Consider the following 27,656-nt stretch of genomic DNA (forward strand, 5'->3'; position numbering starts at 1 on the left):
GCCACCGCGCCCGGCCTAAGTTATCTACATTTTTAAAAGTGTTATTAGTTCAGTTTTTAAAAGAATCTCACTAATCTGTGTTTGAATACAAATGACTTAAATTCTTAGAAAGTTTATTAGTTGTTTGTACATCCACTCTGAGAGTCTGCTTCTGTCCTCTGCCTACTTATCTATTTTTCTTAGTGTTTTGTTTGTTTGTTTTTTGAGACAGAGTCTCACTCTGTCTCCCAGGCTGGAGTGCAATGGCGCAATCTTGGCTCACTGCAACCTCCGCCTCCTGGGTTCAAGCGATTCTCCTGCCTCAGTCTCCCAAGTAGCTGGGATTACAGGCGCACACCACCACGCCTGGCTAATTTCGTATTTTTAGTAGAGACAGGGTTTTGCCATGTTGGCCGGGCTGGTTTCAAACTCCTGACCTCAGGTGATCCATCTGCCTCGGCCTCCCAAAGTGCTGGGATTACAGGCGTGAGCCACCGCGCCCAGCCTTTTCTTAGTGTTTTCTTATCAACCTTTAGAAATCAGTAAGGTTATTCATCTTTTAAGTACCATATTTTCCGATTTCATCCCAGTTTATCTTCATTTTGCTCACATCGCTCTCTGCTGTGCAATTTTACATTTTTATATATCTTACTTACCATGATTAACTCATTAAGTGCTACAGCAATTAAACAGCAACAACCTATTGACCTTAATTTTTAAGGTTGTCTAATAACTATTTGATAAGGTTGGGCTGTGTCCCCACCCAAATCTCATCTTGAATTAATAACTGATAAGGTTGGGCTGTGTCCCCACCCAAATCTCATCTTGAATTAATAACTATTTGATAAGGTTGGGCTGTGTCCCCGCCCAAATCTCATCTTGAACTGTAGCTCCCACAATTCCCACGTGTCGTGGGAGGGCCCCGGTGGGAGGCCACTGAATCACGGGGGCGGGCATTTCTGTTCTAGTGATAGTGGGTGAGTCTCAGGAGAGCTGATGGACTTCAAGGGAGGAGTTTCCCTGCACAAGCTGCCTCTCTCATCGGCCGCCACGTCAGACATGCGCGACTGTGAGACCTGCCCGGACACATGGAACTGTGAGTCTATTAAACTTCTTTTTCTTTATAAATTACCCAGTCTCGGCTATGTCCTCATCAGCAGCATGAAAACGGACTAACACATTATTAGTCTAATAACCATTAGAAAAATGATTTTCAAGAACCGCACTAAAATGTAAGATCATTTAATTATTCAACCAACATGTACACATTTATACATTATAAACAAAAGAAAGTTACTTACCGAATCCAAAAAGCAAAGGTAAGACCCTGAGCTCTGGGCAACTGCTTGATTTTTAGCGTATCCGACTGTGGAAAAAAGAAGAGCAAAACTCTTTTATAATTCAGTTTCCAGCAGCATTCTCTTTCATAGAGCTTAGTATATGATATTCTTTTTTTTTTTTTCGAGATGGAGTTTCCCTCTTGTTGCCCAGGCTGGAGTGCAGTGGCGTGATTTTGGCTCACTGCAACCTCCGCCTCCTGGGTCCAAGCGATTCTCCTGCCTCAGCCTCCTGAGTAGCTGGGATTACAGGCACCTGCCACCACGCCTGGCGAATTTTGTATTTGGGGGTTTCTCCATGTTGGTCAGGCTGGTCTCGAACTCCCAACCTCAGGTGATCTGCCCACCTCGGCCTCCCAAAGTGCTGGGATTACAGATGTGAGCCACCGCACCCGCCCAATATACGATGTTCTATAAGAAAGCTAGGAACATTTTGCACTGCCACCAAAAATGTGGGTCAGCTTTCAAAGGAATGAAAGGAAAGTCAGAGAGAGACAATATTCCACCTTTGGTAGGTGGCATAATGAGAACAAGGATAAAACACAGAGTCCACTGGGTACTTCATTAAAGTCTGACACTCACTGAAGGAAAAAAAAATGAGATGGACCTTTACTGAGTACAGCACTAAGCTAAGTCCTGGGAATATTTTTTTAAACAAAATTAAAATATCCCTGGAAGGAAGTCTGTAAAGTCTACCCTGATGAAAGTCAGGATCCGGTCACAAGAGGGAAGTTGGGGGCTGGCACATGTGTGACGGGCTGGTGGAGGTCACTGAGGTAGACCCTCGGAGGGCGGTTTGCACGTGTGTGATGAGCTGGTGGAGGTCACTGAGGTAGACCCTCGGAGGGCGGTTTGCACGTGTGTGATGGGCTGGTGGAGGTCACTGGGCTGGACGCGTGGTGGGTGATCCTCTTGGCGTGCATCTCTGTGATGAGCTGAATGTGCTGCCAGCATCTACAACACCAGAGTGGGTGCACATCCCATGACCCAGCTCTGATCCTAACAGATACTGTGCGGCGTAAACCCAGCAGAACTTAATCTGCATGGCCACCAAGAGCAGCACTGTCATCAGAGCTCAAAACTGGGAACTACCCAAGTGCAGAATGGAAAAGCTGGAAACATACATGACAAGAAGGCACCCTCCAGGGCTGTACACACAGCGTGGGTGCCTCTCCCAGGCTGCTAAGCAGAGAAGGGAGCAGCTGCTGGGTGGGGGCCCTGGCCCGGAGCACGAGGGCAGCCGAAATTCTTCTGTGCTGTGAGAAACTAGGAAAGCAGCTGCCCTTGGGGAAGGGGGTGACCAGAGGGGCCTGAGGGGGCTTCTGGGGGCTGCGATCTTCTGTTCTTCCTCAGGGTGCCGGTTACATGGTGTGTGCAGCTTATGAACCTTCATCCAGCAGTAAGACTGTGATGTGCACTTTTCTGTATGGATATCATATTTTAAGAGGAGTTTCAAAAAATCTCTGTCTTCAAAGACATCACAACTGAGCTGGAAAAGGCTGAACGATGACCTGTGGTTAAACGCCAAAGGAACGGGACTGAAAACGGGGATAGGGAGGCCTAAAGGGTCCCTGTTAGGGAGCTGTGGCAAGAGCCTGAGGCTGTTAAGAACGTGAACCAGCAGAAGCAAGGCAGCCCAGGGCAGACCACCGTCCTGGGTGCTGCCCTGTGGGCGGTGGGCAGTCTGGGCAGCCCTCATTATCTGGGGCAGCCTATGTTTGGGAAAGCAGGCACTGGGCAGCTTTGTGGGAACTGCATGTTGGGCTAAGAAGGCTCAACTTCCCCCTGCCAGCAGGGGTAGCCAAGGAAGGCTTCTGAACAAGGAGTAACAAGCAGAAATTCATGCGTGGCAAGCTCAGCTTCGATGCCAATGGCGGGTGGATCAGAGGTGGCATTTAGCCCAAAATGAGGGTGCTGAGGAGGCTCCAAGGGGCAGGATACCCACTTTCCCTAGAAAAGAGGCTGGCAACACCGGACAGTTACAGACATCATGGCACCCAGGAAAGTCATACAAAGCAAAACAGACGTGTGCAGAATTAAGCAATAGATCTCTCTGGTATCCAAATCAAGACAAGCTGCAGAAAGTTGTCTGTTGGAGGGACAGTGGCCAAGTGTGCATTTCGGCCACACCCGTGGCACTCTCCCGTCTCCACTACAAGGAGGGGAAGGCAGGGCTCCCACCCCACGGGGGCTGCCCTGTTCCGGGGGGGCATCGAGCAAGCTCACGGCACCACTGGGACCGCACAGCCGCACAGAAGCGAGACGCACAGAGTCTCCCACCCTCTCTGCGTTCTCCAACCCGGAGCAGTGCCCCTCTTCATACCAGGTAGCAGTTTAATTTCTAGCATTAATCCCTAAAGTTTAGCCAGCTCAACCCAGTTAGCCAGAGGATCCCAGATGTCAAAAAGCCAGGGGCATAAACAGGCGCAGGGAGGAAATGCACCCGGGGAGGCGAGCGCCTGTTCTGCCCTGGGATGGATGGTGGGCCGTGTCTCCAGGGCCGCTGCAGCCAAGCCTCCATCATCGCTGCAGGGCCAGGTGAGTGCCCTGAAGCTCCTCACGAGAAACACAGGCGGAGGCACCTGTGAGGACGAAGGGCCGGAAGGGGCCTTCCACGAGGCACACTGTTCAACAGGGGCTCTGCTCACAATGCGGCTTGTTAGCGTCAGGTTTCAGGAGAGAAGGGTATCCGTGAGCCTGGGTAACGAAGGAAGACTTATCTCACTAAGGAAGCTGGAAGTTTCTCACAATGAATCCTGTGTTTGGCAGAGACAAGGAATTTGCTTTAATATTATTGCCTTGAAGAAAGTCAAATGTTTGCGTGGGGCTCCTGCTTGGGGAGGCCAGTCCCTTTGTGAGGGGATCTGGTTGCCATGGTCTCAGCAGGAAAAACTCACACGGCGGCGAGATATTAACATTCCTTCCTCCTGGAGAGAAGAGTGGGGATTGTACTTCATTTTGGTTTTAGCAAGCGGCGACGTTATTAGGAAAGTGGGGCTCCGTTAGTGCATGAATCGTAATAAGTGAATCAGCCCATTTCAAATACCCAGCACTTCTGAAAAGAGACACTTTGGATCTATGTTATCTAATAGTCAATATAACTCTCCCTATTCAAGAAAAAATATCATTACAGGAAAATACGTCCCTTTCAGCTATAACCAAACCAACCATATTTTATTAAAGTGTAGAATAGGGTCCCCACGAGGTCTCCTTACCCACACTTCAGACAGGCAGCAGGACGGCTCATTTCAGCCCTTCACCTCGGTCCTTCAGAACTTTACAACGGATTGTTTTTATTATTGGCAGAATTCATACAAATGGGATATGCCTCAAGTTAGAGCTAATCTATAAAAAGTACTTTATGAAAAGCAAAATGTTTTCAAAATAGATGAATGTTTTTAGACAAGGAGTGTCACAACAGTCACCAAAATACTTTAAATTTGTTTTCATCCAACTATAAAAGATGCAAAACTCTCTCTAATATTCTTTAACTTAAAAGAATATTAGGCCGGGCGCAGTGTTTCACACCTGTAATCCCAGCACTGTGGGAGGCCAAGGCAGGCGGATCAGGAGGTCAGGAGATCGAGACCATCCTGGCTAACACGGTGAAACCCCATCTCTACTAAAACTACAAAAAAATTAGCCGGGCGTGGTGGCGGGCTCCTGTAGTCCCAGCTACTTGGGAGGCTGAGGCAGGAGAATGGCGAGAACCTGGGAGGTGGAGCTTGCAGTGAGCCGAGATCGCGCCACCGCACTCCAGCCTGGGCGACAGAGTGAGACTCCATCTCAACAACAACAAAAAAATATTAAAAGATGTTTATAGTAGTTTCAAAAACCAATTTGTTTACACACATTACAGAAGCAAGTTGAAACAGATGTTCTACAATAATCAATTTATAAAGAGTTTTCTATTTCAAACCAACGAAAGATAATGAAAACAAGATATAACTTGGGAAAAAACATCTTCCAAATACACAAGACGATGATGATGACAGCAATGATGATGACAGACAGCTGCCAACACCTCCTGAGTGCCCGCTGCCCACCGTCCATCCCAGGGCAGAACAGGCACTCACCTCCCTGGGTGCATTTCCTCTCTGCACCTGTTTATGCCCCTGGCTTTTTGACACACTGCTGAGCGCCCGCCGCCCGCCCCTGTTCTAGACACACTGCTGGGCGCCCGCCGCCCGCCCCTGTTCTAGACACACTGCTGGGCGCCCGCCGCCCGCCCCTCTTCTAGACACACTGCTGGGCGCCCGCCGCCCGCCCCTCTTCTAGACACTGCTGGGCGCCCGCCGCCCGCCCCTGTTCTAGACACACTGCTGGGCGCCCGCCGCCCGCCCCTCTTCTAGACACACTGCTGGGCGCCCGCCGCCCGCCCCTCTTCTAGACACACTGCTGGGCGCCCGCCGCCCGCCCCTGTTCTAGACACACTGCTGGGCGCCCGCCGCCCGCCCCTGTTCTAGACACACTGCTGGGCGCCCGCCGCCCGAACCTGTTCTAGACACACTGCTGGGCGCCCACCGCCCGCCCCTGTTCTAGACACACTGCTGGGCGCCCGCTGCCCGCCCCTGTTCTAGACACACTGCAGATTAGCTCATTTCACACCTCACAGCACTCCAAGATGGGTGCTGACTACCACGACCTGTTCACAAATAAGGAAACGGAGGCAGAGCGAGGTGGCCGTGGAGCCGACCCCACCAGCCTGGCCCCACACCCAAGTCTACTTTACTCCTGCGTCTTCTGAGCCCCAGGGCACTGCAGGAGAAGAGCTGGGGCCAGGAGCTGCTCCTGTCCACTGAGACACCCCGCAGGTGAGCCTGTGATTTTGTGAGTCTCACAGATCTGAACAGGACCCAACAGAGGACTTAACTCCCCAGGCTCTCACATGGGGACATTCCAGAGGGACCGTAAACCCTCAGCCGCTTGCCCTTGAAATACGTCATAGCTGTAAGACTCCCTCAGGACCAAGTCCACTAGAAAGTGGGGTGATGCCACCCATTCCTGAGCACATTCTAAAGCAGTGGCTCCTGATCCTGGATGTGTCTCAGAATCTTCTGGAAAGCTTTTAAAATCCCAATGCCCACGCTGCACCCCAGACCAATTACATGAGAATATCTTAGGGTGAGACTCAGGCACTGGTTTTCTAAAACTCACTGATGATTCTAACGTGCACAAAGTTGACGACCATTATCTTAGAGAAGCTGTGACTCCTAAAATCTGTAGGAACCCGTCCACCAACTAAAAACGTATCATCTGCCAACCTTGACTTTTTCAGCCCCATGCAATATAGGCAGGCATATTTTTTTCAAGTCTTATATGGAAACTTTAAAGTCAAACTAAAAGGACCCTGATCTATTACAATCAAAGCTAAGAACACAAGCTAATCATTCAACATAAAAACAGAGGGTGAATGAAGAAACCTGAACACAGCTTGACCCAGCATCATGAAATTTCAAAATTCAAAAGTACAAAAAGAAAAATCTTAAATACTTTGAGAAACAATACCTTTAAAATAACAAGAGTCAGACTGGTGTAAGATTTCTTATTAGAAACATGGACACTAGAATATAATGAGGCAATCCCTTTAAAATTCTAAGAAAAATTATTTTGCACCTAGAATTCTATACCCAGCCAATCTGTCAACTGAGCATAAAAATATTCTTGAGCAAGAGAAATAAGCAGAAAAAAAGTTTGAAAAAATAATGGCTGAGGCTGGGCACAGTGGCTCATGCCTGTAATCCCAGCACTTTGGGAGGCCGAGGCAGGCGGATCACAAGGTCAGGAGATCGAGAACATCCTGGCCAACACGGTGAAACCCCATCTCTACTAAAAAATACAAAAAATTAGCTGGGTGTGGTGGAGGGTGCCTGTAGTCCCAGCTACTTGGGAGGCTGAGGCAGGAGAATGGCGTGAACTTGGGAGGCAGAGCTTGCAGTGAGCCAAGATCATGCCACTGCACTCCAGGCTGGGTGACAGAGCGAGACTCCATCTCAAAAAAAAAAAAAAAAAATGGCTGAAAAATTCTCAAATTACTAAAATTTTACTGGAGGAGCTCAAGAGTATATTTAAATATGCAGAAGAAAAATTAGCAAACACAGAGATAGATGGGTAAGTCTGAATCTGAAAATGGAGACAAAGAAGAATGAAGAAAGTGAAAAGCATCTCAGAGAAAGCTGGAATACCAATAACTATACCAACATATGCACAATGCAAGTACCACACGGAAAGGCAAGAGAAATAAGCAGAAAAAAAGTTTGAAAAAATAATGGCTGAAAAATTCTCATATTATTGAAAAACATTCATCTACACATCCAGGAAGCTCAACAAACTCCATGTAGGATAAACACAGAAGATTCGCAGCTAAACACATCATAGTAAAAATGCTGAAACCAAAGATAAGGACAAAATATTGAAAGCGACAAGAGAAAATCACTTGTCACTTACAAGAGACCCTCAGTAAGATTAACCGCTTACTTCTCATCAGAAACAATGAAGGCCACAGGCAATGGGGTCACACACAGATGCTCCTCAACTGAGGGTGAGCCTATGTCTAGGTAAACCTGCTGTAAGTTTAAAACATCATAAGTCAAAAATGCTTGGGGGCCTGGGAGCTGTGACTCATGGCCACTGCCTGGTATCCTGACAGAACCATGGTTTCTACTGAATTTGTGTTGCCTTTGACCATCATAAAGTTGAAACATGGTAAGTTGAACTATCACAGGCTGGGGGCCATCTGTATTCATAGTGCTCAAAGAAAAACACTGTCAATTATGAATCCTATATCCAGCAAAGTCATCTTTCAAAAATGAAGAAGCAAGTAAGAGATTCTAAGATAAACAAAAACTGAGGCAGTTCATTGTAGGGCTGAAATGAAAGGGCACTAAACAGGAACTCATAGAGAAAGAACAAATGAAGAACAGGGATAAAGTTTACTATTCAGGTAAATATAAAAGATAGTACTATTTTGGTTTGTATTTTTCCTATATGCTTTTAAAACAAATACAGAAAACAAGCCAGGTGCTGTGGCTCATGCCTATAATCCCCACACTTTGGGAGGCCAAGGTGGGTGGATCACTTGAGTCCAGGAATTCGAGACCAGCCTGGGCAACAGGACAAAACCCCCTCTCTACCAAAAATACAAAACTTACGCAGGCGTGCTGGCAGGCACCTGTATTCCCAGCTACCTGGGAGGCTGAGGCACAAGAATCACTTGAACCTACTGGGTGGAGGTTGCAGTGAACCAAGATCACGCCACTGCGCTCCAGCCTGGGTGATGGAGTGAGCCCCTGCCCCCTACTGCCACACACACACCAGGAAACAATTATAAATCTAAATCTACATTCATGAAAATAATTTATGAATTTATGTTAATGTTACATGATTGAAGCTAAGTGTTAATTCAAACTACATTGTTATAAATTTAAGATGTTCACCGTAATCCTCACAGTAACCACTAAGACGATCATTTAGAAATACACAGAAAAGGAAACGAGAAGGGAATCAAAATGGCACATCGGAAATAAGCAATTAAACAGAAAAGAAGGTAGTAATACAGGATTGAGGAATAAAAAAGACATAAGACATATAGAAAGCAGATAGCAAAGTGGCAAAAGTCCTTCCTTGTCAGTAATCACTTTAAATGTAAATGGACTAAATTCTCCAATTAAAAGGCAAAATCTGGCAGAACGGATCTTGAAAATTATGATCCATCTAAATGCTGTCTATATGAGGAATTCACTTCAGATCCAAAGGCACAAGTAGGCTGAAAGTGGAACAAGGGAAAGAGATATTCCACGCAACTAGTAATCAAAGAGTGCTGGCGTGGCTGTACTAATATCAGAAAAAATAGACTTCAACTCAAAAATTATTAGAAAAGACAAAGAAAGAGTCAATTGATCAAGAAGATATAACAAGCATAAAACTGTACACATCTAACAAGAGGGTCACAAAATTAAGTAAGGCAAAGATTGACTGAATTGGAGGGAGAAACAGTTCTACCGTAACAGTCGGAGATTCAACATTCTACCTTCAATAATGGAGAGAACATCTAGAGAGAAGATAATAAACAGAGAACTTGAACAATACTATAAACCAACTAGACTTAGCAGAAATATACAGAATACTCCACTTGACAGCAGCAGAACACACATTCTCAGGTGTGCACAGCGCATTCTCCAGGACAGGTGACACGTCCGGCCATAAAATGTACCTTAAACATTTGTTTAAAGATTGCAATTATATGAAGTATCTTCTCTGACCACAGTGAAATGAAACTAGAAATAAGTAACAGAAGTAAAACTGAAAAATTCATAAATAAATGAAAGCTAAACCATATACTCTTCAGCAACCAATATGTCAAAGAAGAAATCATAAGGCTAATTAGAATATACTCAGAGACAAACGAAAACAAAAACACAACAAACCAAAACTTTCAGGATGTAGAAAAATCAGTGCATAGAAAGGAATTTATAGCTATAAATGCCTACATAAAAGAGGTCTAAAATCAAGAACCTAAAAGTACACCTTAAGAAGCTAGAAAAAGAAAAATAAACTAAACACACAGCTAGCAGAAGGAAGGAAACAGTGAAGATTAGAGTGAAAATAAACAAACAATGACAAAACAATAGCAAATCAACAAAAAGAGTTGATTCTTTGAAGAGGGTCAACAAAATTGACAAACCCAGCTAGACTGAGAAAGAAGGAAAGACAGCTCAAAATGCTGAAATAAAAAGTGGTACATGACTCCCAAACTTAACAGAAACTAAAAGGATTATGACAGTGTGAAAAACAACATATGCCAAAAAAGTTAGATAACCTAGATGAAATGGACAAATTCCTAGAAACAAACTACCAAAATTGACTCAAGAAGAAATAAAAAAAATCTCAACACACCTATAACAAATAAAGAGATTGACTCAGTAATAAAAAAAACAAAAACTCCCAACAAAAAAGCCCAGAGTCAGGTGACCTCACTGATGAATTCCACCAAACTCAGAGAATTACTAACACCAATCCTTCCCAAACTCTTCCAAAAAACAAGAGGAAGAAACACTTATTCTATGAGGCCAGTATTACTCTGATACCGAAGCCACACAAAGATATCATATGAATAGGAACCTACAGGCCAATAGCCCTTACAAATATATATATGCAAAAATCTTCAACAACATACTAGCAAACTGAATCCAGCAGTATACTAGAAAGATTTTACACCAGGAACAAGTGGGATTTATCCCAATAATGTGAGGGCAGTTCAACATAGGATATCAATCAACGTAACATACCATCTTAACAGATAAAGGGGAAAAAACTATATGATCATCTCAAATTGGTGTCAAAAAGGCATTTGACAAAATCCGGCACCCTTTCATGATTTAAAAATTCAACAGACTAGAATTAAAAGGAAACCTCCTTAGCGTAAGAAATGGCATTTATAAAAACCTACAGCTAACGTCATATTCAAAGGTGAAAGACTGAAAGCTTTTCCCCTACAATTGCTTGGGAGAACCGAAGCGAGGATGCCCACTTTCACCACTTCTATTCGGCACCGTCCTGGAAGCACCAACCAGAGCGATGAAGAAAGATAAAAGCCAGGCGCGGCGGCTCACGCCTGTCATCCCAGCATTTTGGGAGGCCAAGGCAGGCGGATCACCTGAGGTCAGGAGTTTGAGACCAGCCTGGCCAACATGGCGAAACCCCGTCTCTACTAGAAATACAAAAAAATTAGCTGGTTGTGGTGGCGCACGCCTGTAGACCCAGCTGCTCGGGAGGCTGAGACATGAGAATTGCTTGAACCCAGGTGGCGGAGCTTGCAGTGAGCTGAGATCGTGCCACTGCACTCCAGCCTGGATGACACAGTGAGACTCTGTCTCAAAAAAAAAAAAAGAAAGAATCTAAATTGTAAAAGGAGAAGCAAAACTATCTCTACTCATAGATAATATGATCTTAAATACAGGAAATCCTAAAAACCCACAAAGAACAAACTATTAAAGCTAATAAACTATTAGAGCTAATAATTGTAGGATACAAGGTCAACACTAAGAGAAATCTGTTGTTTATCCCCTAGAAATGAGCACTCTCAAAGAAAATTAAGAAAACAATTCACAAAACTTATCACAAAGCTCAAGTAATCAAAACAATGAGGTACTGGCGTAAGGACAGACATATAGACCAACGGAATAGAATCTGGAGTCCAGGAATGAATCCATACGTTTATGGTTAATGGATTTTTGACAAGAATACCAAGACAATTCAGTGGAGAAAGAATAGTCTTTTAAATGGTGTTGGAAAAACTGAGTATCTACTTACAAAAGAATGAAGCTGGACCTTTGCTTCACACCATACATAAAAATTAAGTCAAAATAGATCAAAGGCCTAAATATAAGAGCTACAAGTATAATTCTGAAGAAAACATACAGATAAAATCTTCGTGACCTTGATTTAGCCGTGGCTTCTTAGAAATGACACCAAAAGCACACGCCACAAAAGAAATAATAGATAAATTAGATTTTTGTCTTCATCAAAATCATAAGCCTTTTGTGCATCAAGGGACACTCTCGAGAGGGTGAAAAGATAACCCAAAGAACGGGAAAAAAATTGCAAATTATATATAATAAAGCTCTAGTGTCCAGAACATATAAGGAGCTCTTACAATTCAACAATGAAAACACATACAGCTCAATTTTTAAAATGGCCAAAATACTTGAATAAACATTTCTTCAAGGAAGATATACATTTATTTATTTATTTATTATTTTTTGAGACGGAGTTTTGCTCTTGTTGCCAGGCTGGAGTCCAATGGTACGATCTCGGCTCACAGCAGAGATCGCGATCTCTGCCTCCCGGGTTCAAGCAATTCTTCTGTCTCAGCCTCCTGAGTAGCTGGGATTAAAGGCCGCTGCCACTACTCCAAGCTAATTTTTGTATTTTTAGTAGAGACGGGGTTTCACCATGTTGGGCAGCTTGGTCTTGAACTCCTGACCTCTGGTGATCCACCCGCCTTGGCCTCCCAAAGTGCTGGGATAACAGGCATGACCCACCAAACCCGGCCCATTTATTTTTTATTATTTATTTTGAGATGGAGTCTCACTCTGTCACCCAGGCTGAAGTACAGTGGCACCATCTCGGCTCACTGCAACCTCTGCCTCCCGGGTTCAAGCGATTCTCCTGCCTCAGCCTCCCAAGTGGCTGAGATTACAGGTGCATGCCACCACACCTGGCTAATTTTTTTTTGTGGTATTTTTAGTAGAGATGGGGTTTCACCATGTTGGCCAGGCTGGTCTCAAACTCCTGACCTCAGGTGGTCCACCCGTCTCGGCCTCCCGAAGTGCCGGGATTAGAGGCGTGAGTCACCATGCCTGGCCCAAGGAAGATATATAAATGGCCAACAAGCACACGAAAAGAGGCACAACATCTTTAGTCAACAAGGACATTCAAATGGAAACCACAGTGAGACACCACTTCACACCCACTAGCATGGCTATAATTTAAAAAACAGAAAATAACAAGTGTTGATGAGGATATGTAGAAATTGGAACGTTCATACATTGCTGGTAGGAATGTAAAATGCATCCACTGTGGAAAAGTTTGGCAGCTCCTCAGTATGTTAAACACAGAATTACAATATGAGCCAGAAATTCTACACCAAGGAATATACCCAAAGGATCTGAAAACCAGTGTTCAAACAACAACTGTACACAAATGTTCAGACTGTCATCATTCACAGTATCAAAGGGTAGAACAACTCAAATGTCCACTGCCTGACAAACAGACACACAAAACATGGTACTTATGTACAACTGCATATCATCCTCCCAGAAAAAGGAACGGAGCACGATACATGCCACAGCACAGAGGAACGTTAAAACGTTATGCTAAATGAAGCCGGTTACAAAAGAGCACGTGGAACCTGACTCCATTCACATGAAATGTCCAGAACAGGCAAATCTACAGAGACAGAAAGCAGGCGAGTGGTTGCCAGGGTTGGAAGAGCCTGCGTGCCACCGCAGAATACCCCAGACTGGGTGGCAGAAGGGGCTTCTCACAGTTCTGGAGCCTGGGAAATCCAAGAGTAACGCTCCAGCAGATTCAGTGTCTAGTGAGGGCCCCTTCCTGGCTCACAGAGGTGCCTTCTCCCTGTGTTCTTACAGAGCAGGAGGGGTGAGGGAGCTCTGAGCGGCCTCTTTTATAAGGGCACTAATCTCATTGGTGAGGCCCCACCCTCATGTCCTAATCACCTCCCAAAGTCCCCACCTAATGTCATCCTAATACTATCACCCTGGGGGTTCCAAATATGAATCTCGGGGTGGGCACAGACATTCAGATCATAGTAATAAATCCCTACCAAAGAATAAGAAACTTAGGTCTATAATCAATCCTTATCAAAGAAAAAGAAATTTAGGTCTATAATAAATCCCTACCAAAGAATAAGAAACTTAGGTCTATAATAAATCCCTACCAAAGAATAAGAAATTTAGGTCTATAATAAATCCCTACCAAAGAATAAGAAACTTAGGTCTATAATCAATCCTTATCAAAGAACAAGAAATTTAAGTCTATAATAAATCCCTACCAAAGAATAAGAAACTTAGGTCTATAATCAATCCTTATCAAAGAACAAGAAATTTAGGTCTATAATAAATCCCTACCAAAGAATAAGAAACTTAGGTCTATAATAAATCCCTACCAAAGAATAAGAAATTTAGGTCTACAATAAATCCCTACCAAAGAATAAGAAACTTAGGTCTATAATAAATCCTACCAAAGAATAAGAAATTTAGGTCTATAATAAATCCTTACCAAAGAATAAGAAATTTAGGTCTATAATAAATCCTACCAAACAATAAAAAATTTTAGGTCTACTAAGGTTCTTTCTTTTCTTTCTTTTTCTCTTTCTTTCATTTTCTCTCCCTCTCCTTTCTTCCTTCTTTCCTTCCTTCCTTCCTCTCTTTCTCTCTCTCTTTCTCTTTTTTGAGATGGAGTCTTGCTCTGTCACCCCAGCTGGAGTGCAGTGGCACGATCTCGGTTCACTGCAACCTCTGCCTCCCGGGTTCAAGCAATTATCATGCTTCAGCCTCCCAAGTAGTTGGGATTACAGGCGTGTGCCACTACGCCCGGCTAATTTTTGTATTTTTTGGTAAAGATGGGGTTTCACCATGTTGGCCACGCTGGTCTTGAACTCTTGACCTCAAAGGATCCGCCTGCCTTGGCCTCCCATAGTGCTGGGATTACAGGTGTGAGCCACCACACCTGGCCTCTACTAGGTTCTTAATAAGTGGTATATCCAATTACCACCAGGATACTTTTTGTCAGTATTTGAACAACATGAAACTGTTTCGGTACGTAAGTTGATAAGAAACCACGAATTATAGTTTAATAAACTAAGCATGTTTACTTACCGCCTCTAGGAGAGGGAGAATCGTGCCCCCCAATGATCACGTGGACACCAGAATCTTCCAGCTTCACTCTCCATTTTTCAATGATAGCCCCAGACTTGTCCTGAAAGCAGAACACTGGCAGGTCAGGAAACTTCCCTCCGAACAGTCAACCGTTGCTTACACTGGGGCTGAGTCACCCGACAGGAAGTTCCTACAAACCTTACTGGCATCATTGAAAACAGACAGCTCCATGGTACCTTCAAAGTCCTGTTGCAAAACAGACCTCAAACATTCGTCCAGCCACGGTTCAGCGTTGTGGACTGGGAGGATAATAGACTGGAATTCAAAAGAAATGGATTAACAGAAGTGTGAAAACTTAGTTCCCTTTCCATGGCTCTAATTTACCTCCCCTTCACCACCCGCACATATGCCGTGACAAACAAAAGGTGTCCACTCCTTTTCTCCAGGCTCTTAACATGCTTGTAAGATTCTTTACGTCTTAGCTTTCCCTGAACTGCCTTCTACATGTTTTTGAAAGTGAAAAAAAAACTGAAAGGACTTTGGGAGGCCGAGGTGGGTGGATTACAAGGTCAGGAGATTGAGACCATCCTGGCTAACATGGTGAAACCCCATCTCTACTAAAAATACAAAAAATTAGCCAGGCGTGGTGGCAGGCTCCTGTAGTCCCAGCTACTCGGGAAGCTGAGGCGGGAGAATGGCGTGAACCCGGGAGGCGGAGCTTGCAGTGAGCTGAGATTGCACCACTGCACTCCAGCCTGGGTGACAGAGCAAGACTCTGTCTCAAAAAAACAAAACAAAACAAAACAAAAAAACTGAAAGGCATCAAATTGTTCCCAACTCAATGGTAAATCATGAGTTTTCCAATCACTGATCAGAAACATCATTTTGGTTGAAACAAGTATCTGGGTATCTTCCAACTCACTCATGAAAATAACTGGTTGGTTTTTTTTTTTTTTTTCTGAGATGGAGTCTCGCTCTGTCACCCAGGCTGGAGTGCAGTGGCTCGATCTCGGCTCACTGCAAGCTCTGCCTCCCGGGTTCACGCCATTCTCCTGCCTCAGCCTCCCGAGTAGCTGGGATTACAGGTGCTGGCTGGTCATGTTCTAGGTGGAATAAGCATTTCGGCAAACCATGTTAGAAAACCTGCAACAAAGTAACCCCTTTAAGTAACCCCTCAGCCCACAAAAAACAATGTTTTAACAAAGTATCGGGCAGGAGGTGTTCAAAGAACCCAGCTGAGCAAATGGGAGGCCTGACGTCCATCTCTCGATTCCTTTGTCCTACACTTCGTTTCGGGCTAGTGTAGCTAGTGTCCTTTTCTCATTGTCCTTTTCTCATGAAGCCCAAAACAAAAATTTATAAAGTGGGATGGAGTAAAACCAGGAAATTCAATGCCAACAAAACAACTGATTACAGGAGTTAAGTCTTAATTTCATACATTATAATATTAAGTGATACGGAGCGATACTTAAGAGATTAGTCTGTCCTCACCCTTAATTTATATCCAAAAAAGAAAAGTTGAAATTGTGTTGAAAACACAATTTAGTCAAGTTCTTTACAAATGAAACCTCACTCTGTCTCTTCCTGGACTTAGGTTAATAAGAATAAAACGAGTTCTGGCCGGGCGCGGTAGCTCACGCCTGTAATCACAGCAGTTTGGGAGGCCGAGGCGGGCAGATCATCTGATGTCGGGAGTTCAAGACCAGCCTGACCAACATGGAGAAACCCCGTCCCTACTAAAAATACAAAATTACCCTGGTGTGGTGGTGCATGCCTGTAATCCCAGCTACTCGGGAGGCTGAGGCAGGAGAAACGCTTGAACCCGGGAGGCAGAGGTTGCGGTGAGCCGAGCTCGCGCCATTGTACTCCAGCCTGGGCAACGAGTGTGAAACTCCATTTCAAAAAATAAAAATTAAAAAAAAAATAAAACGAGTTCCCTAATTTATTTACAAATTTACCTTAGTTTGGATTTACTTAGAGGAAAAGAAGGAAATAATTTTTCTCAAGATCTACAAAATATAATGTTTCTATCAAAGATAGACCTTGATTCACCTGTTACCAATTTTAGTAAGACTGGAATAAAAAAGAAAAAAGGCTGGAAAAAAAACAAACAAAAAAACAAAAAACAGAAAACATGCTGAGCCTTTGGGCGACTGCTAATCCTACATCCCTGTGGTTGTTCCCTGCATCGGCCTATTGGCTGGGTCTGAACCCTGAGGGCCTTTGCTCCAGCCTCTGCCGGAGCACGGGGAAGGTGTTCGGGGCTTAAGGGCAGGTTTTTAGGGCACGTGTTTGGGGTAAGTGTGCTGGGCACACAGGCAGGTGTGTGGGCACGGAGGAGGTGTGCAGGTAGGTGTGTGGGATGCGCAGGCAGGTGTGCACGGCAGGTGCACGGGCAGGTATGGGGCACGGGCATGTATGCAGGACGCAGAGCAGGTGTGTGAAGCAGGTGTGCAGGCACAAGACGTGTGTGTGGGGCATGGGCAAGTGTGCCGGGAATGTGTGACGGCAGACGTGTGGGGTGCGAGGTTGTGTGGGGGCACACGGACAGGTGTGCAGGCAGGTGTGGGGCACGGGGAGGTGTGCAGACCAGGTGTGTGGGGTGCGGGAGCGAGGCAGGTGCGCGCGGCAGGTGCGCGGGGGCGAGTCAGGAGCGCGGGGCACGTGTGTGGGGTGTGGGGCAGGTGTGCGGGGGCGGGGCAGGTGTGCAGGGCAGGCGTGCAGGGGCAAGGCAGGTGCGTAAGAGCGAGGCAGATGCGCAGGTGCGCGGACCAGGTGTGTGAGGTGCGGGGGCAGGTGCGCGGGGGCGGGGCAGGTGCGCAGGAGCGAGGCGGGAGCGAGGCAGGTGTGCGGGCGCGGGGAAGGAGCGCGGGGCAGGCGGGCGGGGATGAGGCAGGTGCGCCGTTCCTCCACCCCACGACCAGGTGAGGGCGAACGGGGAACTGCCTGAGCTCCGAGCCCGGAAGCTTCAAAATCAGAACGAGGAAGGTCGGTGAGGAGGCCACGCTCGCGGGACGGGGGCAGGAAGCGCAGCCGGAGCTGCAGATCTCGGCCGCGCCCCGCGGGCTCCAATCCCGAGCGTCCCCCGCACGCGCAGCCGCGCTCGCCCGCGGGGCCTAAGGGCTGCTCAGGGCGGAGACCCCGTAGGTGAGCCCGAGAGGCGGTGCGGGGCTGCGAACCCCGGAGCGAGAGAGGACTGGAGGGCGGGGTGAGGGGACGCGAGGACCCAGCCTGCACGGCGGGGCACCCTCCCCGCTGGCACCTACCACGTGGGCCTGCATGGCCTGGCTCTCCTCGGACGCCCCGCCCACGCCGGCTCCGCTCATCCCGCCGCTTCGGCCTACGGCGCCTGCGCGGGCGGCACCAGGAGGCGGGTCTGAGGCCAGGCAATCTCCGATTGGTGCAGAGCGGCGTCCATAGGGGTGGGCCTCCCGGAGGGGCGTGGAAGGGGCGGGGCTGCTCGGCGCGGGGCGGGGCCGGGAGGTCGCCGCCTCAGTCTTCCGCCCTGGGCCACGCCCCGGTCCCGGGTCACCTCTCGGAGCCGCCTCCTTGGCCCGTGGAAGCCTCCTGCTCTCCCCTAGGGCGCGCGTCACAATCTCTGGTCCCCCGTAGACGCCGCCGCGGGGAAGGCGGGGCTGTGCGAGGGCGCCGCGCTGCAAACCCAAGCCAGGCGGCCTGGAGTTGCTGTAAAGCCTCAAGCAAGGCTGATATGTAAAAGGTCGTTGCATTTCACCCGGGCTGTGGGCTGTGCTACTTGACCGGGGAGGACGAGGGGACTGCAGGGCGTCCTTTCAGACAGACGCGGTAGGGAGAGCAGGGCGTGCAGGACACTTGACGGCCCCAGGAGAGGGGTGAGGCCCTGACCCCACCGGGGTGTCATCCAGGAGGAAGGGTGCCCGGGGCGAGGTCCCCCAGGAGAAGTGCCCAGGCCTGAGGCCTTGACCCCACTGAGATGTCCCCCCAGGAGGAGGGGTGCCCGGGGTTAGCTCCCCTAGGAGGAGGGGTACCCGGGAGTGAGGCCCTGACCCCACCGCGAGGTCCCCCAGGAGGAGGGGTGCCCAGGAGTGAGGCCCTGACCCCACCAGGAGGTCCTCCAGGAGGAGGGGTGCCCAGGAGTGAGGCCCTCACCCCACCGTGAGGTCCCCCAGAAGGAGGGGTGCCCAGGAGTGAGACCCTGACCCCACCAGGAGGTCCCCCAGGAGGAGGGGTGCCCGGGAGTGAGGCCCTGACCCCACCGCGAGGTCCCCCAGGAGGAGGGGTGCCCAGGAGTGAGGCCCTGACCCCACCAGGAGGTCCCCCAGGAGGAGGGGTGCCCGGGAGTGAGGCCCTGACCCCACCGCGAGGTCCCCCAGGAGGAGGGGTGCCCAGGAGTGAGACCCTGACCCCACCAGGAGGTCCCCCAGGAGGAGGGGTGCCCGGGAGTGAGGCCCTGACCCCACCGCGAGGTCCCCCAGGAGGAGGGGTGCCCGGGAGTGAGGCCCTGACCCCACCGTGAGGTCCTCCAGGAGGAGGGGTGCCCGGGAGTGAGGCCCTGACCCCACCGTGAGGTCCCCCAGGAGAAGGGGTGCCTGGGGAAAGACATGACCTCAGTAGCTCCGGGTACCCTCCACCTTTGCCCTCATTTCCGCCTCCGCATGCAGCCTTGGGAACTGCAGGGCTGGGAACCCGGAGAAGGCGGCCGGGCTCTGGGGGAGCTCAGAGGTGGCCTTCCCTGCCAGGAACACAGGCCAGGCCCCATCCCTATCTAACCTTATACTTGAGGAGCACAGAGCGGATATCTCCAGATTTGAGTCCTGAACGCGCGGCCGGGAACCCCAGCAGTTCTGAACTTGTCAAGGGAGCAGCCTGCCATGAGGGGTCTCCCAGGCGGCTGTGAGGCCTCTGGAAACTCCCTGCTTGGAGGAGGTTGACTGGGGACAGGGCCGTGGGGGTCAATAAAAAGGACTGCTGCCATTAGCCCTGGGCTGCCTGCACACAGAGATTAAGCCCGCTTGGGATTTGTTCCAGCTGATCTGAAGTAATGAGTAATTCACAATTAATGAGCATGGCTGTAAGCAGCCCTTCCTGGACAAATCCTTGGCTGTCCAAAACTAAGATTAAATGCAAATCATTCTGTCAATTAACCGTTACAACAAAGCCAAACTTCTGTTAAGCATCACTTCATAGATGGTTTTTTTTCCCTTAAATTGCCTCCTTGTTTGCAAAGCCTGTTTTACAAGTGGACTGCTTAAGTCACATGAGTGAAAATGCAGCCTTATTTACCGTTCAGCAAAAGCTATCTGAGAATTTGCTTCCAGGGACTTCATGTTCTCCAGAGGTTGGGGTACTAGGAATCATTTCATTGTAAAGGACTCAGTAAAAAGTAGCCCTGTAGCTGCCAGAATGCGCCGTAGGCTCATGATAAGGTAGGTGGTAAGGGCCAGAGGTCAGGGGTCACAGATGGCTTCTGCCCCTCCACAGCACATGGTGTCCAGAACTGGGCTTGCCTCTCACCTTCCTTCCTGTACATTTCCTGGTGCCAGAAATTTGCTTTTCACTGACTTCCCCCTAATTCAAATTTGATTAGAATCTCCTTTTTGGGAACATTCAAAGTGCCAAGGTGCGTTTCAGAAATGCAGGGTTGCAGAGGTGGGGTCCTGAAATCCAAGGGTGGTGGGGCCTGAGATCACTGCCCTCGCAGTAGGAAGATCCTCGGGGAGAGGTCAGCAGAGGGCCCGGACAGAAGGCACTGACACTGTACCCTGGAGAGAGACAGGAAGGAGGACCTGGGGCCTCAGAGCTGGCCGGGTGGAGATCGTGTGGTCTTCGTTCAGAGGGAAGTGAGGTGCTGATGAAAGATGATTGACGTCACGTGGGCACCAGCAGAGGAAGTGACACAAAACGCCCCACAGCTTTGGGTTCACTGAGTGGGCAGTTGTATTTATTTATTTTATTTTATTTTTGTAGAGATGGGGTCTTGCTGTTGCCCAGACTGGTCTCGAGCTCTTGGCCTCCCAAACTGCTGGGATTACAAGTGAGAGCCATTGCAGATAGCCAGTTTTCTTTATTTTTAATTGTTGTTTGTGCAAAAGGTTTTGGCGAATACTGGCTATATTCAGAGGACTCAGTACCAGTTGCCAGGGGCCTGGAGTAGGTGCTGTGGTCTCAATGTGTGTGTCCCCCCAAACCATATGTTGACACCTAACCCCCAAGGCGATGTGGTTAGGAGATGGAGCTTTAAGGAGGTGACTGGGCCGTGAGGGCTGTCCTCTCATGACGGACGAGTGCCCTTCAACGAGACTTGAAGGAGCCCTTCTGTCCCTTCCTCCACGTGAGGACACATAGAAGGTACCATCTCTGGGGAACAGGCTGTCACCAAACACCAAGTCTGCTGGCGCCTGGATCCTGGACTTCTCAGCCTCTACAACTGTGTGCAATACATTTCTACTGTTTATCAATCACATGGTCAGAGGTATTTTGTTACAGCAGCACAAATGGACCAAGACATCAGGTCTCCAAATCGAAGAACTTCTCAGCAGCCTTCAGTGCTGGGTGGGGAGACAGAGGTTCCCTGCAGGTCCCCACAGACAGTGTTAGACTCAGTGCTGGGTGGGGAGACAGAGGTTCCCTGCAGGTCCGCACGGACGGTGTTAGACTCGGTGCTGGGTGGGGAGACAGAGGTTCCCTGCAGGTCCGCACGGACGGTGTTAGACTCGGTGCTGGGTGGGGAGACAGAGGTTCCCTGCAGGTCCGCACGGACGGTGTTAGACTCGGTGCTGGGTGGGGAGACAGAGGTTCCCTGCAGGTCCCCACGGACAGTGTTAGACTCGGTGCTGGGTGGGGAGGTTCCCAGCAGGTCCGCACGGACGGTGTTAGACTCGGTGCTGGGTGGGGAGGTTCCCTGCAGGTCCGCACGGACGGTGTTAGACTCGGTGCTGGGTGGGTTGACAGAGGTTCCCTGCAGGTCCGCACGGACGGTGTTAGACTGGGTGCTGGGTGGGGAGGTTCCCTGCAGGTCCGCACGGACGGTGTTAAACTCGGTGCTGGGTGGGGAGGTTCCCTGCAGGTCCGCACGGACGGTGTTAGACTCGGTGCTGGGTGGGGAGACAGGTTCCCTGCAGGTCCCCACAGACAGTGTTAGACTCGGTGCTGGGTGGGGAGGTTCCCTGCAGGTCCGCACGGACGGTGTTAGACTCGGTGCTGGGTGGGGAGACAGAGGTTCCCTGCAGGTCCCCACAGACAGTGTTAGACTCGGTGCTGGGTGGGGAGGTTCCCTGCAGGTCCGCACGGACGGTGTTAGACTCGGTGCTGGGTGGGGAGACAGAGGTTCCCTGCAGGTCCGCACGGACGGTGTTAGACTCAGTGCTGGGTGGGGAGACAGAGGTTCCCTGCAGGTCCGCACAGATGGTGTTAGACTCGGTGCTGGGTGGGGAGACAGAGGTTCCCTGCAGGTCCGCACGGACGGTGTTAGACTTGGGGGACACTGGGTCCCCAGTAAGAATGATTCTGATGTGAGTGCAGCTAGTGAGGGCTGAGTTCAAGCTTTAAAGACAAGAGCCCAACAGGTTCCTTCAACAGCCTGATCCCCTAGACCTTCGTGTGTCCAAGTCTCCAGAGGGGATGAACCTCAACAGACCTGGTTCGACCTCCCCTAGGCAGTGGGTGCTGCCTGGAGGGCAGGGTCGCTCGAGACTGTAGGAGACTCTGCACGTGGTGACCATAGCACCCCCATAATAAAGCAGCCCGTGAGGGCAGCCTGGCTGTTCGGCGATGTGTGCACTGAGGTCATCTCTCCTACTCTGTCTCAGCTATTTAAAGGCTGTGACTCACCATGTGGATTTAATGACTTATTAAGGAGTTGCAGCCCATGCTTTTTAAAAAAGTAATCTACAAAAAAATAAATGAAAAAGTCTTCAGGACAGTAGACTTAAGTGCGGATGTGGTCCCTCGAGTTCCATTTTTCAGCCGCCCACATTCCTGGGATTCAGACCTGTTGGGGATTGTAGGATTCTAGTTGCACAGGGAAACCCAGAGTCAATTCAGGAGGATAATTCTGAGCCAGGGGTGGGGGTACCGGCCTGGAGCTCCGGGGGGTACGGGCTGATCCTACGAAAGGAAAGTCAAGCCTGTGAATTGCAGAGCCTGGACAGAGAAGTTGAGGTGACGGCGTTCTGCAGATCCGTGAAATTCTATTACACGTCAGAGGGAAGGGACGGCCTCATGTGGCCCCTTGGAGGGACCAAGCCCTACCCAGCGCCTTGCCCAAGTCAGCACGCAGTCAGTGTTGGCTCCACCCACCTGCACCGTCAGGCCTTCTGGAAAGAGAAGGAGATCCGACTGACGGAGCGTCTCCAAACTTCCAAGCAAATATTACCTCGTTAAAGCCCAGTGCCACATGACTGACCTGGAGCCACAGCCTGCCCTCCTTCCCTGGGCCTACAGGAAGGGGGAGGTTCCTGTCACCAGAACCGTTCCGTCATCAGCCGGGCAGATGCTCGCTGTGGATTCTAGGTGAGCATCAAGTACTAGGGACCATGTTTGTCTTGGATTCCCCCGTCCCGCCTGAGCCCAGAACGCAGAGCCGGAGTCAGGGGCTTGCACATGGAGCGTTTCACGCCCAGGAGGCTGGGGCAGGGGCCAGGAAGGAGCGGGGAGGGGGCCAGGACCAGCGTGCTCTGCTGAGGGTCCACATCGAGGGCTGGACCCTGGACCTCCACAAGCCTGGAGAATTCTCCATCCGAGCAGTGAGGAGCCCCTGCTTGTTGTCAGCTGGAGCTGCGCCTCGGGGCTTCTGCTGTCCTGGCCCTGGGGTGGTGACTGCAGGATCCCACAGGTGTCCCGAGGCCTGAGGCTCTTCTCACTGCAGAGGCCACCCTGCAGGAATTGGAGTTAGGACCCGGAGGGTGGGACAGGCTGACTCAGAGGAGCCAGCTCTCAGGTTGGCAGGAGGAGGAGATGCACAATGAGACAGCAGCCTCACCTCCAGGGGACGGCCCCGCAAGCCGGAGCTGCCCTCCTGCACACTCAGCACTCAAGGTGGATTTGGAGGTGACCTAAGCCCACAGCTCTCCAAGTCTTGGGGAAATCTACAGTGGATGGCAGGTGCCTGCGGACGCCGAGTGGGTGCGGCCCCAGTTATGCTCAATGCAGGGGCACCTGTGTTGTTAGCAGCTGACGTGGACGGGAAAGGCCTGTGCTGAACAACGTTCCGTGTTCAATTAGACACTCTCCTCCTAAACAGGGGCGGAAGACGTCTCATGGGGGTTCCAAGCGTGATTTATGGAACTCACTCCCATGAGATAACATAACATTTTTCACACGTGGGAGAAAGGGCTGGGCTCGACTGGTGCCTGAGTGAATGCTGAGGATAAATGGGAAGCAGGACATTCCAGGGCACCTCTGCGTCTTGCATGAGACCTTGTGAGGGCCCTGTGGTGCCCCTGATGTCACTGTCGAAGGTGGAGCCGCCCCCGCTCTGCCTCGGCCTCCCTCAGATGTCCTCCCCAGCTGGCCCTGCAGCGCACGTGGAAGACAGCTGCCGAGAAGCAGGTGTGATGCCAGCCTGTGGGAGAAGCCACATCTGGACAGTGCGTGAAGCCAGTCCAGGGGCCACACCGGGACCTGCCCTCAGCTCTGCCACGTCCTGGCCAAGTGGCCTTGGCATGCCAGCCCTGGTGTCCACAGAGGCATCCATTCCTCATGGCAAAGTGGAGTCAAGTCGGCTGATGCAGGCGAGACACCTGGCCGGCCTGGGGAGCCGCACCAGCGCTCCCCACATTGCACTGCTGACTGAGGGGTGCTCGGTGCCGCGGCTTCACACGGTCAGTGCACAGACATGAACGCTGGACTGAGAAGCCGCCGCGTGCACCTGGCCCGCCAAGTTGCCAGGGAGGCAAGGGTGGTGTTGACGTGGATCACCGAAGGAGCTGGCAGCCCAGCCGTCCCCGTGACTGGATGGAATCCGCAAGCGTTCCTGGGCATCCACTCTGGGAAGGGCTCAGTGCCAGGGCCTAGGGTAGTTTTCAAATTGCAGGTTGTGGCCAGTATACCAGGGGTCATGGGGTCAGTACACTGGGCTCTGACTGGCAATTCCTAAAGATGAAGTGTGAGTCTGTCCCATATAGTAAGAGCTGCATTGATTTGTAAAGCTTGTGTTGGTTTTGCACGTTCTATGCCAGTGTGTGCTGGACCGTGATAGAAAGCGCATTTCTCGCTGTGGTGCCTGCCGTAGTCTGGAGGGAAAGATGAGTCCGTGGCTCTAATGTGGGGTGGTGGGTGTGGTCTACACAGGGAGAGCGAAGAGCCCACATGGGGCATGAGAGGGGCCGGAGAGGCTGGGGCAGGGGAACCCGGGCCAGGTCCTGAGAACAAATGGGGTTATTCAGCTCCTAAAGGTGCAGGACTCAGCCCAAAGTCCCTGGTGACCCAAAGAGGACCATGTGAGTCTGATGTGGCTGTGGAAGGCGGGGCTCACAGCAGGCTGCCGGGGCACCATTAATGGGGGAGGGTCCTGTCCCCAGCGCATACGTAGACGGCCCTTCAGAACCTGCTCAGTGGTCAGTGCGGCCGTGCAGCTGCACCCCGGCCTGGTCACCTGTGCTGTGCCCAGCAAGGAAGATGCCCCCGCTCAGCCCGTCCATGCACCCTCCAGAGGCTGTCAGCTGCCTGAGACCCACACTGGCTCTTGCAGGCTAGAGGAGAGTTCAATGGCCATTCGGGCCCTGTCGCCATGGAAACACCAACTTTGGGTACCAAAAGCCTGAATGTACAAATTCATGGAGTATGACCTGCCTGGTGCCAGTGGGTCTTTGCATTTTTCTGGGGTGCCAGTGGGTCTTTGCGTTTTTCTGGGGTGCCAGTGGGTCTTTGCGTTTTTCTGATGCCCTCTGAACTCTTAGGTCCCGGTTCTGGCGGATTTGGCCCAGGCACCCCCAGCCCCCAGGTAGGAGGCACAACCCTGCTCCCAATGCCCAACACCTGCCCCCAATGCCCAACACCTGCCCCACACACCTGAGGTACCTCCTGGGCGTCCCACACCAGGACAGGCCTGGAGACTTCCAGCCACTGCCACCTGGCACACCCAGCACCTGCAGATCCACCACCTTAAAACCCACCTCTACTGCCCCATGTCACGGTCCCTGCGGGGCCAGGCCTGCCTGGCACGTCCACCCCGGGTCTCCCTGCCTCACCCTCTTGCGCATCCACAGTGAACAGGGGCATCTTTCCAAAATGCAGATCTGGCCGGGTGCGGCGGCTCATGCCTGTAATCCCAGCACTTTGGGAGGCCGAAGCAGGTGGATCACATGAAGTCAGAAGTTGGAGACTAGCCTGGCCAACATGGTAAAACCCCGTCTCTACTAAATGTATAAAAACTAGTGGGATGTGGTGGCGGCTAACTGTAATCCCAGCTTCTTGGGAGGCCGAGGCACAAGAATTGCTTGAACCCGAGAGGCAGAAGTTGCAGCAAGCTGAGATCTCACCACTGCACTCTAGCCTGGGCAACATAGCAAGACTCTGTCTCAAAAACAAACAAACAAAATGCAGATTGAATCCAGGCTCACCTGGTGACAGCTGTCCATATCCCCACCCTTTCAGGACAGCATGGCTGCCCTTTTGTGGGTGGTTCCAGCTACCCAGACCCTGTCCTTCTCAACACCCCCTCATTAAGGTAGGACCCTAAAGTGAATTCCTCCTTGTCCTTCAAAGCCAGCCTCCAGCATCGCCTCCTCTGGGATCTTCTCTGACTTCCCAGTCGGTTTCAGAAGCCTCTGATGACCCCATGCGGAGAAGACTGCTCCCCTCACTGCTGGCACACGGCAGATGCTCAGTAAGTATCGTTCAATGACTGACTAAATGTCTCATAATATCCTTCATAAACAAGGGCCTGGTGTGGATTCATAAATGGGTCTCTCAAAGTTTAATTGGTGAGACTCTGTTGTATCAGACAATGAAGGGTTAAAAGATAATATTCAAAAAAGTAAAATCATGACACACAAATCTAGAATGAACACACATTGATAAGGTTTGGATCTGTGTCCTCACCCAAACCTCATGTCGAACTGGGATCCCCCGTGTCAGAGGCGGCCGCGTGGGAGGTGACCGGATCGCGGGTGGACCCTTCATGAAGGGTTCAGCACCATCCCCTTGGTGCTGTCCTGGGACAGAGTTCTCTTGCGATCTGGTTGTTTAAACGTGTGTGGCCCCTTCCCCCTCTCTTTTCCTCCTCCTCCTGCCGTGGGAGACACTTGCTCCAGCTTCGCCTTCCGCCGCGAGTTGAAGCTCCCCGAGGCCTCCTCAGAAGCAGAAGCCACCACGCTTCCTGTACAGCCTGTGGGACCCGGAGCCAGTTCAACCTCTTTTCTTTATAAATTACCCAGACTCGGCCGGGCACGGTGGCTCACGCCTGTAATCCCAGCACTTTGTTGAGACCGAGGCAGGCAGATCACGAGGTCAGGAGATCGAGAACATCCTGGCTAACACGGTGAAACCCCGTCTCTACTAAAAATACAAAAAATTAGCCGGGCGTGGTGGCGGGCGCCTGTGGTCCCAGCTACTCGGGAGGCTGAGGCAGGAGAATGGTGTGAACCCGGGAGGCGGAGCTTGCAGTGAGCCGAGATCCCGCCACTGCACTCCAGCCTGGGCAGCAGAGCGAGACTCCATCTCAACAAATAATAATAATAAAATAAATAAATAAATAAATAAATAAATAAATAAATTGCCCAGACTCAGGTATTTCTGGATAGCGATGCGAGAATGGACTAATACACGTGTTAAGTCAAAAGTTTTATTTAACTTATTAATTCATGAGGGAAGCAGGAAGATATTAAAACTGGTTCAAAGGAAAATCCACAGGTTTAGGCAATCGAGCTGAAACGAACTTGCTAATACAGTCGTCCCCCGTATCCCCGACTTGAGTTGTCTGTGCTCAACTGCAGAAAACAGGTGAGTACAGCACAGTAAG

The 27,656-nt window shown here is 50.0% G+C and overlaps 2 protein-coding genes across 26 annotated transcripts in view; one reads left to right on the forward strand and one right to left on the reverse strand.

Moving 5' to 3' along the window:
- The window catches only part of QTGAL (queuosine-tRNA galactosyltransferase), a 109,622-nt gene extending 91,606 nt beyond the window's left edge, over positions 1 to 18,016 (reverse strand). For 12 of the 15 annotated variants that reach the window (XR_007065267.1, XR_002957964.2, XR_002957963.2 and 9 more), the window contains exons 1-4: positions 17,983 to 18,016; positions 14,915 to 15,031; positions 14,717 to 14,816; positions 1,281 to 1,345 (exon numbers count right to left, since the gene is read on the reverse strand). Coding sequence is in view for 6 of the 15 variants with exons in the window: in XM_047435396.1 (XP_047291352.1) it covers positions 1,281 to 1,345; positions 14,717 to 14,816; positions 14,915 to 15,031; positions 17,983 to 17,997 (297 nt within the window). In the remaining 9 variants the exon portion in view is untranslated. Of the gene's footprint in view, positions 1 to 1,280; positions 1,346 to 14,716; positions 14,833 to 14,914; positions 15,032 to 16,470; positions 16,589 to 16,674 lie in introns of those variants that run through there. The other 3 variants (XM_047435393.1, NM_001320742.2, XM_047435398.1) reach the window with 3 other exon arrangements.
- Positions 17,433 to 27,411, forward strand: LOC124904094 (uncharacterized). Of its 11 annotated transcripts, none has more exons than XR_007065967.1 (4): positions 17,433 to 17,491; positions 25,594 to 25,637; positions 25,931 to 26,035; positions 26,402 to 27,411. XR_007065967.1 is itself a non-coding variant. In XM_047437257.1 (4 exons), exon 1 carries the CDS (start codon positions 21,190 to 21,192, stop codon positions 22,228 to 22,230), a length of 1,041 nt encoding a protein of 346 aa, XP_047293213.1. In that variant the 5' UTR covers positions 18,220 to 21,189; the 3' UTR covers positions 22,231 to 25,637; positions 25,931 to 26,035; positions 26,402 to 26,522; positions 26,937 to 27,411. The 11 variants fall into 11 exon arrangements, 6 of the variants coding, with proteins under 6 accessions (XP_047293213.1, XP_047293212.1, XP_047293216.1 ...); XR_007065968.1 differs by lacking the exon at positions 17,433 to 17,491 and adding an exon at positions 17,648 to 17,704; XR_007065966.1 differs by lacking the exon at positions 17,433 to 17,491 and adding an exon at positions 17,779 to 17,863.
- Positions 27,412 to 27,656: the final 245 nt, after the last annotated feature.

The sequence above is a fragment of the Homo sapiens genome, chromosome 17 (genome assembly GCF_000001405.40).
Source record: "Homo sapiens chromosome 17, GRCh38.p14 Primary Assembly".
Classification (NCBI taxonomy): Eukaryota; Metazoa; Chordata; class Mammalia; order Primates; family Hominidae; genus Homo; species Homo sapiens.